General features: G+C 41.4%; 1 protein-coding gene across 40 annotated transcripts in view, besides 2 other annotated features; it reads right to left on the bottom strand.

Annotated features, from left to right (window-relative positions):
• Positions 1–15,241, bottom strand: part of KALRN (kalirin RhoGEF kinase) — a 692,957-nt gene that overhangs the window by 274,680 nt on the left and 403,036 nt on the right. For 39 of the 40 annotated variants that reach the window (NR_170953.1, NR_170952.1, XM_006713810.4 and 36 more), the window contains 4 exons: positions 12,609–12,758; positions 9,587–9,701; positions 5,370–5,485; positions 4,761–4,883 (listed from right to left, as the gene is read on the bottom strand). Coding sequence is in view for 38 of the 40 variants with exons in the window: in XM_006713810.4 (XP_006713873.1) it covers positions 4,761–4,883; positions 5,370–5,485; positions 9,587–9,701; positions 12,609–12,758 (504 nt within the window). In the remaining 2 variants the exon portion in view is untranslated. The remainder of the gene's footprint in view (positions 1–4,760; positions 4,884–5,369; positions 5,486–9,586; positions 9,702–12,608; positions 12,759–15,241) is intronic. The other variant, NM_001322992.2, reaches the window with a different exon arrangement.
• Positions 9,135–9,634: an enhancer, noted in NCBI's record as "H3K4me1 hESC enhancer chr3:124160859-124161358 (GRCh37/hg19 assembly coordinates)". NCBI's record gives its function as "activates a minimal SCP1, AML or CMV promoter by ChIP-STARR-seq in naive H9 embryonic stem cells {active_cell/tissue: H9 hESC(naive)}" and the evidence as "EXISTENCE:reporter gene assay evidence [ECO:0000049][PMID:30033119]".
• Positions 12,340–12,909: an enhancer, noted in NCBI's record as "OCT4-NANOG hESC enhancer chr3:124157584-124158153 (GRCh37/hg19 assembly coordinates)". NCBI's record gives its function as "activates a minimal SCP1, AML or CMV promoter by ChIP-STARR-seq in naive and primed H9 embryonic stem cells {active_cell/tissue: H9 hESC(naive and primed)}" and the evidence as "EXISTENCE:reporter gene assay evidence [ECO:0000049][PMID:30033119]".

Raw genomic sequence — 15,241 nt, 5'->3', positions numbered from 1 at the left:
ATTTCCACACGTGGCCATACATATCTTTTCTCGTTCAACCTAAGCCCACTTGAAACTCAAATCTTTCCTCCAAAGACAGTAACTTATAGAAACTAATAAAATGGGGTCAGACTGCAGCAGTTCTTGAATGAAAAGTTCAGAAGTATGGACATGATCTTGTGGCCAAAAGGGAAACTTTGGGTACCATAATTCATCTGGGCCTGGAAATCTAGACCTGAGAGCTCACTTATCTTGGGCTTCATGTGTCCCCTAATTTATGTCTTGCCTCTCCATTTTGAATTCTAGTTATCTGCTGGAAAAGACAGAGGTTCAAAAGAGGGGTTCAGTAATTCTATTTTTTTTCTATCCCTCCCTCTCTCTTTCCCTCCCCACTCTCTCTTTTCCTCCTTCCCTTTCTTTCTATCTTTGGTTATGATCTTCCTCTAATCAGTGAGCCTCACTCTGAGTAAATTTTTTTAAAGCCCTTTTGACTTTAGCACATTTTACAAGACTTTAAGATTTTGTCTTCTTGATAGTAATCTTATAATCTCATAATTTTCTATATTTGCCTTTCATTATTGATATTCCTTATAATGAGATAATAATAAGGAATATTGATATTCCTTATCAATTTTTTTTTGTAGACACAAATTTACTGAGCTCCTTGTGCAGGTGAATAGGTTTCTTGAAATACATCTTCTGATTCATTCAGCAGGGGATTGTTTGTTATTATACATAAAAGAACCAAAATTTTCAAAACTTTCCATCACATATGAACTATATTCCTCTTCAGAGTCTCAGAAAGACCAGGCGCGGTGGCTCATGTCTGTAATCCCAGCACTTTGGGAGGCAAAGGCAGGTGGATCACCTAAGGTCAGGAGTTCAAGACCAGCCTGGCCAACATGGTGAAACCCTGTCTCTACTAAAAATACAAAAATCAGCCAGACCTGGTGGCAAGCACCTGTAATCGCAGCTACATGGGATGCTGAGGCAGGAGAATCACTTGAACCCAGGAGGTGAAGGTTGCAGTGAGCTGAGGTCACATGACTGCACTCCAGCCTGGGCAACAAGAGTGAAACTCCATCTCAAAAAAAAAAAAAAAAGAGTCTCAGAAATAGCATCACGCCTATCTTTTATCTGAACTGTTTAGATTCTACCTCTCTCGGTCTAAAGTACCATCTGACAACCCCAGTGTTCCCTTTCCTTGCTATCTGAATCTCAGGAAATCATAGTTTAGTTCAGCTAAGGCTCCAGTTGCTTTCATTACTACTTAATTTTCTTTTGTCAAGATGAATTAAGTCCAGTTTATCTCAAGGCTTCTTTCATTTTCAGAGATGAAATTACCAGCTTAAAAAAGTATTTTCTTAACATTATTAGTCATTGGCAAATGCAAATCAAAACCCACAATGAATACCACTCCACACCCTCTAGGATGGCTATATAAAAAGACACAGTAACAAGTGTTGGTGAGGATGTGGAGAAACTGGAACCCTCACAAACTGCTGGTGAGAGTACAAAATGGTATACCTACTTTGAAAAACAGTTTAGCAGTTCCTCAAAAAGTTAAACATAGTAGAACTCCATATAACCCAACCATTCCACTCCCAGGTATGCACATAAGGGAACTGAAACATCTGTTCACGCCAAAACTTGAATATAAAGGTTTATAGCAGCATTATTCATGACAGCCAAAAGCCAGAAACAACCCAAATGTCCATCAACTGATGAATAGTAAACAAAAAGTGGTATATCAATGAAATGGCATGCTATTTAGCAATAATAGGACAAAAGGATTGATACATGCGAATAGCATGGATGAATCCTGAAAGCATTAGGCTAGGGGAAGTAAGCCAGTCACAGAAGATCTCATATTGTATGATTCCATTTATATGAAATGCCCAAACAGGCAAACCCATAGAGACTGAAAGCAGATGAGTAGTTGCCAGGGGTTGAGGAGAGTAGGGAATGCAGAGTGACTGCTAATGGGCATGAGGTTTCTTTCTAGGGTAATGAAAATGTTCTGGAATGAAACAGTGGCAATGTTTGCACAACTTTGTGAATATAGTAAAAACCATGGAATTTGTAAAAAATGAAAAACAAGATAATCTTTAAAAAGTTTTACTTTTAGAAGAAATGGAGTTCTTTCAAATGTCATGATGACTAAGCTTCCCCATCTCCGTGTGCCTTGACCCCTTATACATTTTGAAACCCATAATAGGAAAATACCATTTCTATACTTTTAATGGACTGTCTATAGGCCTACCACAACATGAAAATGATGTTTTCCTTTTTTCCTCATTCAAACTTTTTATTTCATTTTTATTCTTGTATTTGTGAGCTTTTACATAGAAAGTATCTTTCTATATCCAATGGTTCTTCTACTTGGTCTGTTCCTTTGGACCACAGTATTATTAAATTCAATGTACTCCACTGCCCTATTCAACCATAAGGGCCACTGTATGTATTCTCTTGTGGCTAAAGGTCAATTTGGTTTCCATTTCAAATTCATTTTATTGGTTATAAAGATTATAATCAAAGACAGCTGATTAGAAGAGGTTTACCTCTGGAAAGTGGGATTAGGGTGGGGCAGGAGGCTGCTGCCTCTAATCAGAAGCTCCTCAACTGGGTTTGTTATCCTGTAGATATTCTAATATGAATAACCATGAGATTTGGAACATGATAGTTACATCAGGAGGGACAGAGAACATAGACAGCCAAAGTAGAAGATTCATATTAAATATAAATGAGGAGGGGGTGAATCTACTCAAACTTCCTTTTTTCCTTATGGTCTTGAATGGTTGTAGCCTCCTTTGAATGTGTAAAATGCAGTTAGGTAACCTAGGGAACTCAAAATGAATAGTGTGGTTCTTGTCTTTAAGTATCCTGTCGGCTTATATAGGCAATAACATTGCATAGATTACTGGAGGAGAGATGGTCTGTGCCAGGTGAAGGGTTATACGGACAAGGGCCGTAGTGCAGGGATGAGCTGGATCATATCCTGGTATGTGGGAAGGATCATAGAGGAGGAGGCTCTAGAGTGGAAAGGAGGGGCTCCTCTTAAAAAGCACAAACTAGAGGGAAGGGAAGGGTATTCCAGGCAGAGAAATGTATGAAAAAAGGCACATAGACAAAAAAGAATATGATGTATCTCTCAGAGGCTCAGAGAATACATCCATTCAGCTGGAGCATAAAGCCTGCATAAAATAATAATTGAAAATAAAACTGGGGAGGTAGGGTAGCACAGCTGTAGAGTTGTGGAGCATTATCCTAAAGGCATTGGAAAATCATTAAAGTTCTTGATCTGGGTGGTTATGTGACCAAAGTAGCATTTTAAAGATGAATAGCAATAAAGGACAGGGTGGATTGGAAGGAAGGAAAGACCAAAGGCATGCAATCAAATTAGGAAGCTACTACAGCTCAGGGTAGTAGCTATGTGAATGAAAAAGAGGAGAAATATATGAAGACAGTTACAAAGGTAGGATGAATAAGATTGACTGAACAATTCTTCACATTTCCACTTTGATTATGGAAAGATTTTGATCCTATGACGTTCTGGGTATCTGCTGTGATCCACCCTATGCAGACAGGAACACCAATGGATCTCATACTATTCAGCCTGTTAATGGCTCATTATAAGCCCTATTTGGAGAAGGGCGGATAAAGCCAACTTGTTAATTCACAGCCATTTTAATTTGGATTTGAATAGGGTTCTGTGCATCTGCCACCTTCTTTGTGCTGTTTGCTTTTACTGGTATTGAAATGAGTCTCTTATCTGTGCTCATAGCTTTTTGCATTAGACAAAAAGGCCCAAAATTCACAAGGATGCAGGGAGAGGCTCCCCAATATTGAGAGTTCATAGGAAAAGATTCATAGAGTGGATAGCCACTTCTGAAATATCAGCTCAGGAATGAGGCTAAGGGCCTAATTTGTCACACCAAACCAGAGGAACATTCCTTATAGTGTCAGAGGGATCTCCGGATAGGATGTTTCCCACCTTGACCCCAACAAGAACATCTCTTAACCTGGGAAGAGCATATGTTTTGTGTGGAAGTGATGCCAAAAAAGCCTCCTGTGTGGCAAGGAGCCCCGTGTGAGAGATGAGGACGTTACAAAGAGGAACTTGAGACAGATCAGATTTTCATTCAAACCCAAGCATCCTCAGATCAAATCCTGGCTGTGAAAACAGATGAAAATCAGGTTTCCTTCTATTATAGCATTTCCCACAATCTTGGTATGAATTGGTATGTACATCCTTGCACATTTTGCTCCCCAGAGACCCAGCCTAGCCTAGCTCATGAGCGGGTTTGAGGCCAGATGGAAATAGCTCAGAAAAGGAGAAATTCACCTGTTTTGTGTACCCATATATAGTCACTAGCCCTTCTAATAAGGTGGACTTCCCAAACCACTCAAAGTGCAAGAATATGTGGATATCTGCAGTGTTCACATGCACATGTGACATTTTTACATGAATACACCCTTTTCCCTGATTTGGTCTGAAAGAATACAGCAGATTCCAGAACCTGAAGCATGAAGATGAGTATCTGGAAGCACAGTATATAGCAATTGACTTCCTGCATACAGCTGCTCTACCCAGCAGCTGCAATTCTTTGGGTATTCAGGTTTCTAAAGAGACAATCCTTTAGGACATTTACATGCTTCCCCCCTTGCCACTGTAGCCAGGTATTTTTGCTTACAGAAGCTGTCTTTGCTTCCATAATGTGAAATTGGCCAGAATGGAGAGTTCTGGGTGGATCTGGGGGAGGCTCTGGGATGTTTCCTACCTTGGCAGGCACCCTGAATTCCCCATATTCTTTCAGCAGTTCCTGAGTCTCCTCTGTGGTCTCTCCAGTGGAGGTATGTGTTGAGAGGTAAAATTCACCTGTTTCTTGGATCCAGTCAAGCGCCTATGGGAGGAAACAACTCATCCAGTCCCCAAAAAGGCAGCTGTCAGTAGGAAAACATGCCATACTACAATGAAGGTTATTGTTGGGACAACTTAATGGACCCAGGAAACACTGACAATTTGATTGGTATGTAGCTCTGGAGTTTTTTTTTATGAATGAGCCCTCCCTTGCTTTGGAACATTTACCAGCAAAGAGAGGGTCTCCCCCAGTAGACTGAGGACTCTTCTAGGCCAGGCCTAATATCATCCACGAATTAGGGGCATAGTGGGTGACCTAGCATTTCCTCACATCTCCTGGTACCAAACTCAAAACATAGAGCTTGGTAAATGCTGAACTGCTGACAGGTGACAACCTGCTTTCTTTCTTCTTTATTCCCCACTCCCATCCCCAATCTGCTGCTGTGGCCCTCTTCTGGACTAAGCCTTGGTGATGGGCCTCTGTATGCTCCCCAGAACTGAGATAGTGCCAGGGAAAGCTTTGGACAACCTGCTTAGCGCTGCGCTCGAACACCACATATTGCTGGCATTGGTCTAACCGCCGCTTCTTCAAGGTCCAGAAATGCAGCACGCGATTCTCCCTCTGCAGGAGCTCACTCAGGATGGCTGTGGGCAGAGGAGATGCATGATGGTCACAAGGGGCTCTGAGCAAATCCAACCAACCCCTTCAGCCCCACGGCCCAGGTGCCAGGTGACCATGACTGTGATTTCAAGCATCCCCATGAGACTAATCCAGCATCAGAAGAAAGGGAGCAAAAGCTGGATACAGAAAGGATTTCCTAGAAACGAGCAAGGTCGAGGAGTCTAGGGGGAGAGCCCATTGATGAGAGTTCCATCAACTAAGGTGGGAAGAATATAACACCAGTGACTTACAAATGACCCCGATTCTCTTTATAGCAAAATTAGTCCTTGGTTCTAAGAAATCTTAAGAAGCAACTAATTCAATTGGCCCCCAGAGTCTAATGAGCATGGGTGGACCTTGACAGGAATCTCAGTCATTCTTAAGGACTCATTAGAAGAGAGGCAGGAGATTTATAGTGGAATGAGGGCTGGTATCACTGGCTTGACAACCCACATCATGAGCAATGTTCTTGGACCTGCACAAGAGGTTGTGCACACAGCACTTTAACGGCACAGCCTCTAAACACTTCTAAATAGTGGTCATAGGGAAGCTGTGTTGGAATTATGTCTTCCTGTTGTCTCTGGGCCCATGTTGTTTTGGATGTGATCATAAGAAAAGCTAAAAGTGGTGTTAAATGAGTGTATATACAAGGCATATAGCAAAGCAAGTGGGCCATGGTTAGGTATTCAGTCCATGCTATTTCCCTCTCTAAATTTTCTGTTGTTTCAGGAATAGCTGGGTACGTGGATAGATGTCTTAAGCGTTTTAAATAGTATGTTCTATGCTGGAAGCAATCAAATTTATTTTATTATGTCTTCTTCCTGCTTCCTGTTGCTATATTAGATATTAACAAAATATACAATAATAACCATATGAATATCACATACTCAGTATGTGGAAGACACTCATTTTTATAATACCCCATAATGCATGCACCATTATTATCTCCATTATACAGATGAGAAAACTGAGGTTTAGAGAAAGCTTTTGAGAAAGCGTAGGGAAGGTAACTAGCTCAGGGTTGTTCAGATAGGAAAGGGCAGAGTTCAGATTCGGGCCAAATCTGACTTCAGAGCCTGAGTTGTTAGTCACCTTGGTCTCCCATATTACTAAGACTATAAAGTACAACTTTCTATGCTTTACGAAGATGGTACAACCCAAAGTGAAGTGCTTGCACTGAGAAGTTTTTGTTGATTTTATGTACTTTTCATACTCCTTCATTCTCACCTCCCCAGCCAAGTTTGGCTTTCTGAGGACAGAATCTGTTTTTCATCTTTTAGGCTAAGTGCTTTTTTTTCTTTCTCTCTCTTTCTTTCTTTCTTTTTCTTGTTCTTTTTTTTTTTTTTTGACAGGGTCTTGCTCTGTCACCCAAGATGGAGTGCAGTCATAGCTCATTGCAGCCTCAACCTCCCAGGCTCAAGTGATCCTCCCACTTCAGCCACCTGAGTAGCTGAGACTATAGGCACACGCCACCACACCCAGTCAATTTGTAAACATTTTTTTTTTTTTGTAGAGATGGGGGTCTCACTATGTTGCCCAGGCTGGTCTCAAACTTCTGAGCTCAAGTGATCCTCCTTCCTCGGTCTCCCAAAGTGCTAGGATTACAGGCGCGAGCCACCGTGCTCAGCCTTTTTTGGGTCCAATCATTCACCCTTCCCTGTATCTAAGCCTTTATCATGTAACTTTTTCATTCCTTCCCAAAGAGGCAAGTACAGTTGCTCACTCCCCAACTGATCTCTGGCTTAGCTACATAACTTGCTTTAGCAAATGAGTTGTTAACAGATAAAACACAAGCAGGGCCTTGAAATGTACTTGCAGACTTGACTTTGCTCCTTGTACCTCTGCTATCACCACTATAGGAAATTCTCCTGGGTAACTGCTGCCCCTTCGACCCAGGTCCCAGAATAAATACACGTGGAGCAAACAAGCTCTTACCTGGAGTGAAGGAGCCAAGCTAGCTAGACTTGCAGACTGAAGCACAACTGCACTGCTGAGCCCAGTTGAGATGCTGCTCCTCAGCCAATGCACAGCCACTTCAACAACATATGTTTACAGTTGGATATCATTGAATTTCTTGGTTGTTATGCAGCCATATAACAACCAGCAGCATAAAAAAGCCAAAAATATATGGCACTGGCTTTGAGTCTAGGTAGTAGGTGAAAAGGAAACTGATATATAAGGGATTGTAGGTCCCTGCTCAGGTGGAAGCTTCAATTGGGCAAGGAAGGAGTAGAAACCCATTTCTTTTAGTCTTTATGTTCCCTAGCCAGAGTTTTGCTCATTGAAGCTCCCTCCCTCTATGGTGTGACTGAGGGAATCAACCCAGATCTGGCAGAAATCATAAAGAGTTTCAGGATTATTTTCCCCCCTCTTCCTGAAAGCTTTTACATGGGCAACAACTTGGTCTTGCCTCCAAGAAGATGTAGGCATTTCCCACTGTCTCTGGGTGCCTGTTATTCTTCAGCACGCAGAGGTGTAGGTGGGATATGTGGTCTCTCAGTAGGCAGCTGGCCTCACCCAAGCTCCCATCTACATTTGGAAGCCAGAACATATGCTTTCAAATGTGCTGGAAGAAGTGACATAATACCAGCTCCCCACAGGTCCCCTGACCACAAATAGAATAGCACATTTGGAAGAGAAACTCTGCTCCCTCCTCTCTGTAGGGAACTTTGATTCCATTCTTTCCAGTGGTCTCTGTTCTCTCCAACTCTTGAGCTATCTGAGCAAAGAGGGAAGCTCTTCTTAAGCAGACCACGCACCCTACCCTGTCCATGGTGTCTCCAAGCCCATACCCCACTCCTCACTCCAAGTCGGCTTGGGTTCCATTCCTAGCCTCGGACTCCAGAGTTATATTTCTCTGCCTTGGCAAGATGACATTTGTTAAACTCTTCACTCACTCAAAGGCTAATTTCTGCATGGTCAGAATAATTCCACAGATAATGATTTAAGTTTCACATGGTCAGATAATAGGCAATTTTTAAAAGTTATATATTTATTATCATAGACTTTCTAGAATTCGGAGATATTAAAGATTATGTAGAATAGCACTTATCTAAATTTTATGAACACACAAATTACCTGGTTGGTAGAATTGGGCAGTTTTGCCAAAATGCAGGTTCTTTGTTCTTTTTTTCTTTTTTTTCTTTTCTTTTTTCTTTTTTTGAGACAGCGTCTCACTCTATTGCCCAGGCTGGAGTACAATGGTGCAAACATGGCTCACTGCAGCCTCCAGCTCTTGGGCTCAAATGAGCCTTCCATCTCGGCCTCCTGAATAACTAGAGCTATAGGCACGCCACCATACCAGGCTAATTTTTTAATTTTTTGTAGAGATGGGGTCTCAATATGTTGCCCAGGCTGGTCTTGAACTCCTGGCCTCAAGCAACCCTCCCATCTCAGCCTCCCAAAGTGCCAAAATGCAGTTTCTGACTCAGTCGGTTTGGGTGTGGCCTGAGATTCTATATTTCATACACTCTCCTAGGGATGTCATTGTGGCTGGTCTGGGAACTACAATTTGAGGAGCAAGAGTCTAGATGCTCCCCTCATTTTAAATAAGAAACTAAAGTTTTAAAAGGCTTAATCAATCAGTGACAAATCCAGGGTCAGCATTTGGTTTTAGGATTCTCAGTCCACATTCTGTTCCTAGGCTATAAGACACCCTAGTCTTGTGCTGTTCAATATATTAACCAGGAATCAAAATCAGTAATTTACATTTAAATTAGTTAATATTAAATACAAGTTAAAATTTAGTTCCTTAGTTGCACTAGCTCAGTAGCTGCTGTATTGCACAGCGTAGATACAGGCAATTTCCATTATTTCAGAAAATTCCACTAGGCAGTGCTGTCCAGACTCTAAGATAAATGAAAATACTTGGGGAAATTTTATCCTTGTTTTTGCCTTCCAGATCTTGATGCGTGTTTAAAAATTGACCATGAATCATTACTGCCCACACCATCCCACATCATACATTTTCATTTCTAAGGAGAAGCAGCAGGAAATTTGAGATTGTGTGAAAACTGGGTACATGGTATATTTCAGGGAGGGGCTGTCGCTGAAGTGACTGGTGGCTGGGCAGGTCTCTCACTGACCTTTCACTTGTTGCTCGGGTCCCCGAGTGTGGCTGGCGACACTGGGCATGCTGACGTTGTTCCTGTGGATGTACTTGAGAAACACCTCAGCATTCCGCCGAGCCAGGGTGCAGGCCTGCGAAAGACAAAGCTGTGAGGCCCCTGTCCCAGCAGGTGTATGGAATCCAAGACAATGGAGAAGGCATACCCTCCTTCCTTCCATATTTTCTTTTGCTTTTTTTTTTTTTCTTTTTTGAGACAGAGTCTCACTCTGTTGCCTAGGCTGCAGTGCAGTGGCATGATCATAGCTCACCGCAGTCTCCACCTCCCAGGCTCAAGCAGTCCTTCCATCTCAGCCTCCTGAGTAGCTGGGACTACAGGTGCCCACCGCCACACCTAGGTAACTTTGTGCATTTTTTGTAAACATGAGGTCTCACTATGTTGCCCAGGCTGGTCTCAAACTACTGGGCTCAAGCAATCTGCCCACCTTGGCCTCCCAAAGTGCTAGGATTACAGGCATGAGCCATGGCACCTGGCTCCTCCTTATACTTTTTAGGAGGCTCAAGAACTCTGAAGGAATCTAGAAGGAGCAGAGCTCTGGAAGTCACCACTGGTTCATGGAGACTCCAATTCCAATTTATGGAGCTCACCCTTCTGAGCTTTCCTTTTTTCAAGTGAAGAATTACTCCTTGTGTCTCTGCCCATTCCATCTCAGATAAAAATCAGAAATGAGCCACCTCTCGTCTCCTTCTATGTTGATCAGGCATTACTAACATTCACTCTCAGCCTACTTTTCCTCAGCCACCAGAATGCCTCTTACGTGACCACTGGTGTAAGCTCAGGAAACATAAACCCACTTGAAAATCAGTGTGACTTAGACTTGAGCAAGTAAATTTGGTAAACACATCTATTAACCCTACATTCCAAATCTAAATGGAAATTACAAACATTTTTCAGACTTATTTGCCCATGAAGTCCCCCTCATCTAAATATCACTAATAAGCATTCTATTGTTGAAGAATGCCAGTCTACATAAAGGACTAACAGCTGTTATATTACCTACCCCCTTTACGACTCATATTAGCTGTGGGTGGCAGAGAGAGGGCTGATCACATTCTCCTTGCTGTGCTGATGGACAAGACTGGTGCCCAGAAAGGGCAGGAGCCAGGAAGCAACACAGATCTAGGATCTAGGATGACTGACAGTATTTCTTGTTCCTCTCAAGCCTAGTACTTTCTGTATTTCTCTACAAAGCAGGTTTTTTTTCTGGTTGTAAAGTAATAAATACTAGCATACTAATTTTTAATCCATAGTTTTCAGAATTAAATTATCTCTAGATAAACTGAAATTTTATTTCATTTTTCTTTGAAATTTTTTTCTTCTACACACCCTGAAATGTAAAATTTTAGAATCTTATACTTTCCCTCTGATCCTACAAATAATATAATTAAAAATTATTATATAATTAATAGAAACAATTATAAAATTTTATAATTTTCTGGTTATATAAAAAAATTAGCAACAAAGGCATCTGGAATATCTGGTACACAAACGCCTGCTGGTGTGTCCATGAACACAGAGGCTCCTGAATAAAACAGCTTGATGGTGGTCTCAGCTTAAGGAGTTTCAAGTGGATCAACTAATGAATATAAATAAAGAGCTCAATATTCTATTTACTGGGCATATCATTCCCACAGTGACAGGGAGCTTCTCACTATGGTTTCAGGGACATATGGAAAACATCAGACCAGAGGGTTTTCTATTTCTTTCTTCAATAGAAACATTTTCTTTTAATTTTATGAAGAAATATATTTACACTTCTGTTTGAGATTTTTATATGCTCTACTTAAATTGTTCCATTTTAAAATTTGCTTTGTAATAGGGAAAACTTTAAAAAATCATCATAAGCTCTGCACAGAAGAATTTCTATTTAGTCTTACTAGTAAGAGCTGATTACTAGAGGTTCTGACCCATATAGGTGCGGATACCAGATAGATAGGAGGAGGGCAGGGAGAGGCCAGCTTAAAAAAAATAAAAATTAAGCTCAAGGTGGTAGTCAAGTAGAGAAAATCCCTAATAAAAGAAAGGCAGTTAATTACAGAATTGAATAAAATCAATGGCAACATGTCAGGGTATAAAAATTGTCTCTTCTATTCCCAGAAACCTGAGAGGAAGCAGAACATGAAAGCAAGAAATCTGAGAGCAAATGCAGCCTTTAGATGAGCTTGAACACAGAAGAGAGGCGATCAGAGGAGAAGATCAAAGGCTGGGGAAGGAGGCTCACAAGGACTTCCCACACCAGCTGACAGTCTGTGCAGAGCAGGCCTGTGCTTCCTCCCTCAGAAGGCAGGGCTCTAGCAGAATATTAGGAATAAGGCATTTCTCTCTTAATACAGAAGAATGAACAGTGTCATGTGTGTTGGTAATTGGTAATTGCTAGATTGATAAATAAATAGGGCATCCAAATTCATTTCTTTAATTCTTACCCTAATTTTTGCATCTTCCATTTATAAAATATTTTAATCATGTTTTATATCTAAGCTTATATGTTTTTGATATTACTATCAAAAAATAATTTAATTAGCCAAACACAACTGAATGAAAGCATGTCTTTTTCTCAGTTAACAACATCCACGGGATACTGGGATATCTGAAGATTGCAGTAGTAGTAACAGTGTATCCTGATCGCCTAACTATACAAAAAGTGCAAGAGAGAAATAAATGTTGGAAATGTAACCTTTCACCCTTTGAAATTAACCAGTCAACATCTTCATTACATTCCCTTACCCCTTTAGGGAAGAGGTTAGAAAAAAAGAGGGGCTGGGAAGCATGTTTGAAGCTGCGTGTGTGTGTGTGTGTGTGTGTGTGTGTGTGTGTGTGAGAGAGAGAGAGAAGGAGAAGAAGGAGGAGGAGGAGAAAGAGAAAGAGAGAGAAAGAGAAAGAGAGAGAAAGAGAAAGAAAGAAAAGAGAAAGAGAAAGAGGATGAAAGAACAAGGCGGCCAAGGCCAGGAGTCTGAGCCCTTGCATGACAATGTGCTCTGACCTTAAGAAAGGCCTCCTTTTGTTCCAAATGTTTGCTGATGAGGGGAATGACATGGTCGATCTCTGCTGCTGGCCCCAGCTTATCTCGTCCACCACACCAGTCCTCATCTCTCCGGTATTCTTGCTCTAAGCTCTCCAGGACACTACACACCTAGTGAATCATGGAAGAAAAGACTCAGTAAATTAATTATTCAGGAATTATTCTCTGAGGACCTTCAGCCTATAGAAGCCTACACATATGACATTTTTCATTAGAAGTTTAATGCCTCTGAGACATCTAAGAGAAATCCAGGAGGCAGTGACAGTCCTGTGTCTGAAACCTGGGAGACATGATGACTGGAGATACAGATTTTGGAATCATCTTTTTATGGGAGTTGATGACATTACCTAGGAATAGTAGGTAAAGTAAGAAAGTAAGACAGTCTAGTATCTTTGGAGTTTCAGTGTTTTTACACATTATATTGTTATAATCTCACAATAACTATAAATTAGGTAGAACAGGAAATGAGGTTTGGAGAAGATACTTGACTTATCCGACCATCTGTACTTGTCCCATAGTAAGGAGCCTCAAGCAGAGACAAAGGAGGAAGTTGCCTATGTTGTATGGTTTACAGGCCATAAATGAATGTCATCTTTTTCCTCCCCTGGGGAAAAATGTCTCAAAAATCCCACCATAGGACATGACATCTCCAGAACCTCTATTACAAAATACACATTTCCTGTAGAGGGGTAACAAATTTGGGTTAACCTGAAAGACAGTTAAGAAGCTTTTTAGTTCTAAAGATGCTGAGAGGTCATGCTAAGTGACCTTATAAATGAACTCAGAAGAGAGCAAAAGCATTTTGAAGGGAGTTTGGAGGGAAATTCAGCCTGGGTCCCATAGTGGAAAAACCAAGGCAGCCTAGTATCAGGGCCTGGAGGAGGATGCAGAAAATTGAAACTCATATACCTATACAGCCATCCTTCCAAATCTGTGGGTTCTACATCCATGATTCAACCAACTATGGATTGAAAATACTTAGTTAAAAAGTATAGCAATAAAAAATAATACAAATAAAAACAATAGCATATAACAACTATTTACTATAATACTTAGGTATTATAAGTAATCCAGAGATGATTTAAATTACATGGGAGAATGTACATATCTGTGAGGGGTCCTGGAACAAATACCCCATGGATACTGGATTTCCTTCAGTAGACTTTGGGAATGATTGGATTTCCTTCAATAGACTTTGATTACTTGTTTGGATACGGCAGTAGGGAAGAACTGCTATGACTATCTTTGGCCTTCTCTGAGAAAGTCTTTTGATGAAAAACGTCTTTTTTTTTTTTTTTTTTTTTTTTTTGAGACGGAATCTAGCTTTTTCACCCAGGCTGGAGTGCAGTGGTGCAATCTTGGCTCAATGCAACCTCTGCCTCCCAGGTTCAAGGGATTCTCCTGCCTCAGGCTCCTGAGTAGCTGGGATTACAGTCGCTCACCACCACATCCAGCTAATTTTTGTATTTTTAGTAGAGACAGGGTTTCACCATGTTTGTCAGGCTGGTTTTGAACCCCTGACCTCAAGTGATCCACCTGCCTTGGCCTCCCAAAGTGCTGGGATTATAGGCGTGAGCCTCCGTGCCCAGCCAGATGAAAGATGTCTTTGGATAGGGCATTCATTGAGTTATGAACTGAACTGAAAGATGTGCTGAAAGCTGTCCCAGGAAGAACGCTCTCATAGCCAGACATGCTTCTCATGTCATGAGAAGATCTGTCACCAAACTTGAGGTGACTTCTCTAGTCCCATCTCTAGCATCACATGAGAAGATCTGTCACCAATCTTGAGGTGACTTCTCTAGTCCCATCTCTAGCATCACATGAGAAGATCTGTCACCAATCTTGAGGTGACTTCCCTAGTCCCATCTCTAGCATCACATGAGAAGATCTGTCACCAATCTTGAGGTGACTTCTCTAGTCCCATCTCTAGCATCACATGAGAAGATCTGTCACCAAACTTGAGGTGACTTCTCCAGTCCCATCTCTAGCATCACATGAGAAGATCTGTCACCAAACTTGAGGTGACTTCCCTAGTCCCATCTCTAGCATCACATGAGAAGATCTGTCACCAAACTTGAGGTGACTTCCCTAGTCCCATCTCTAGCATCACATGAGAAGATCTGTCACCAAACTTGAGGTGACTTCTCCAGTCCCATCTCTAGCATCACATGAGAAGATCTGTCACCAAACTTGAGGTGACTTCTCCAGTCCCATCTCTAGCATCACATGAGAAGATCTGTCACCAAACTTGAGGTGACTTCTCCAGTCCCATCTCTAGCATCACATGAGAAGATCTGTCATCAAACTTGAGGTGACTTCTCCAGTCCCATCTCTAGCATCACATGAGAAGATCTGTCATCAAACTTGAGGTGACTTCTCCAGTCCCATCTCTAGCATCACATGAGAAGATCTGTCACCAAACTTGAGGTGACTTCTCCAGTCCCATCTCTAGCATCACATGAGAAGATCTGTCATCAAACTTGAGGTGACTTCTCTAGTCCCATCTCTAGCATCACACCTTTCTTTCTGCAAGGCCTGAAACGTGCAGGCAGCTCATGTTTTGAGATAAAACAGCTTAAAGACATGTAAAAACT

Source organism: Homo sapiens, chromosome 3 (assembly GCF_000001405.40).
Source record: "Homo sapiens chromosome 3, GRCh38.p14 Primary Assembly".
NCBI classification, from domain to species: domain Eukaryota; kingdom Metazoa; phylum Chordata; class Mammalia; order Primates; family Hominidae; genus Homo; species Homo sapiens.
This window is presented reverse-complemented; position numbering and strand designations above follow the sequence as displayed.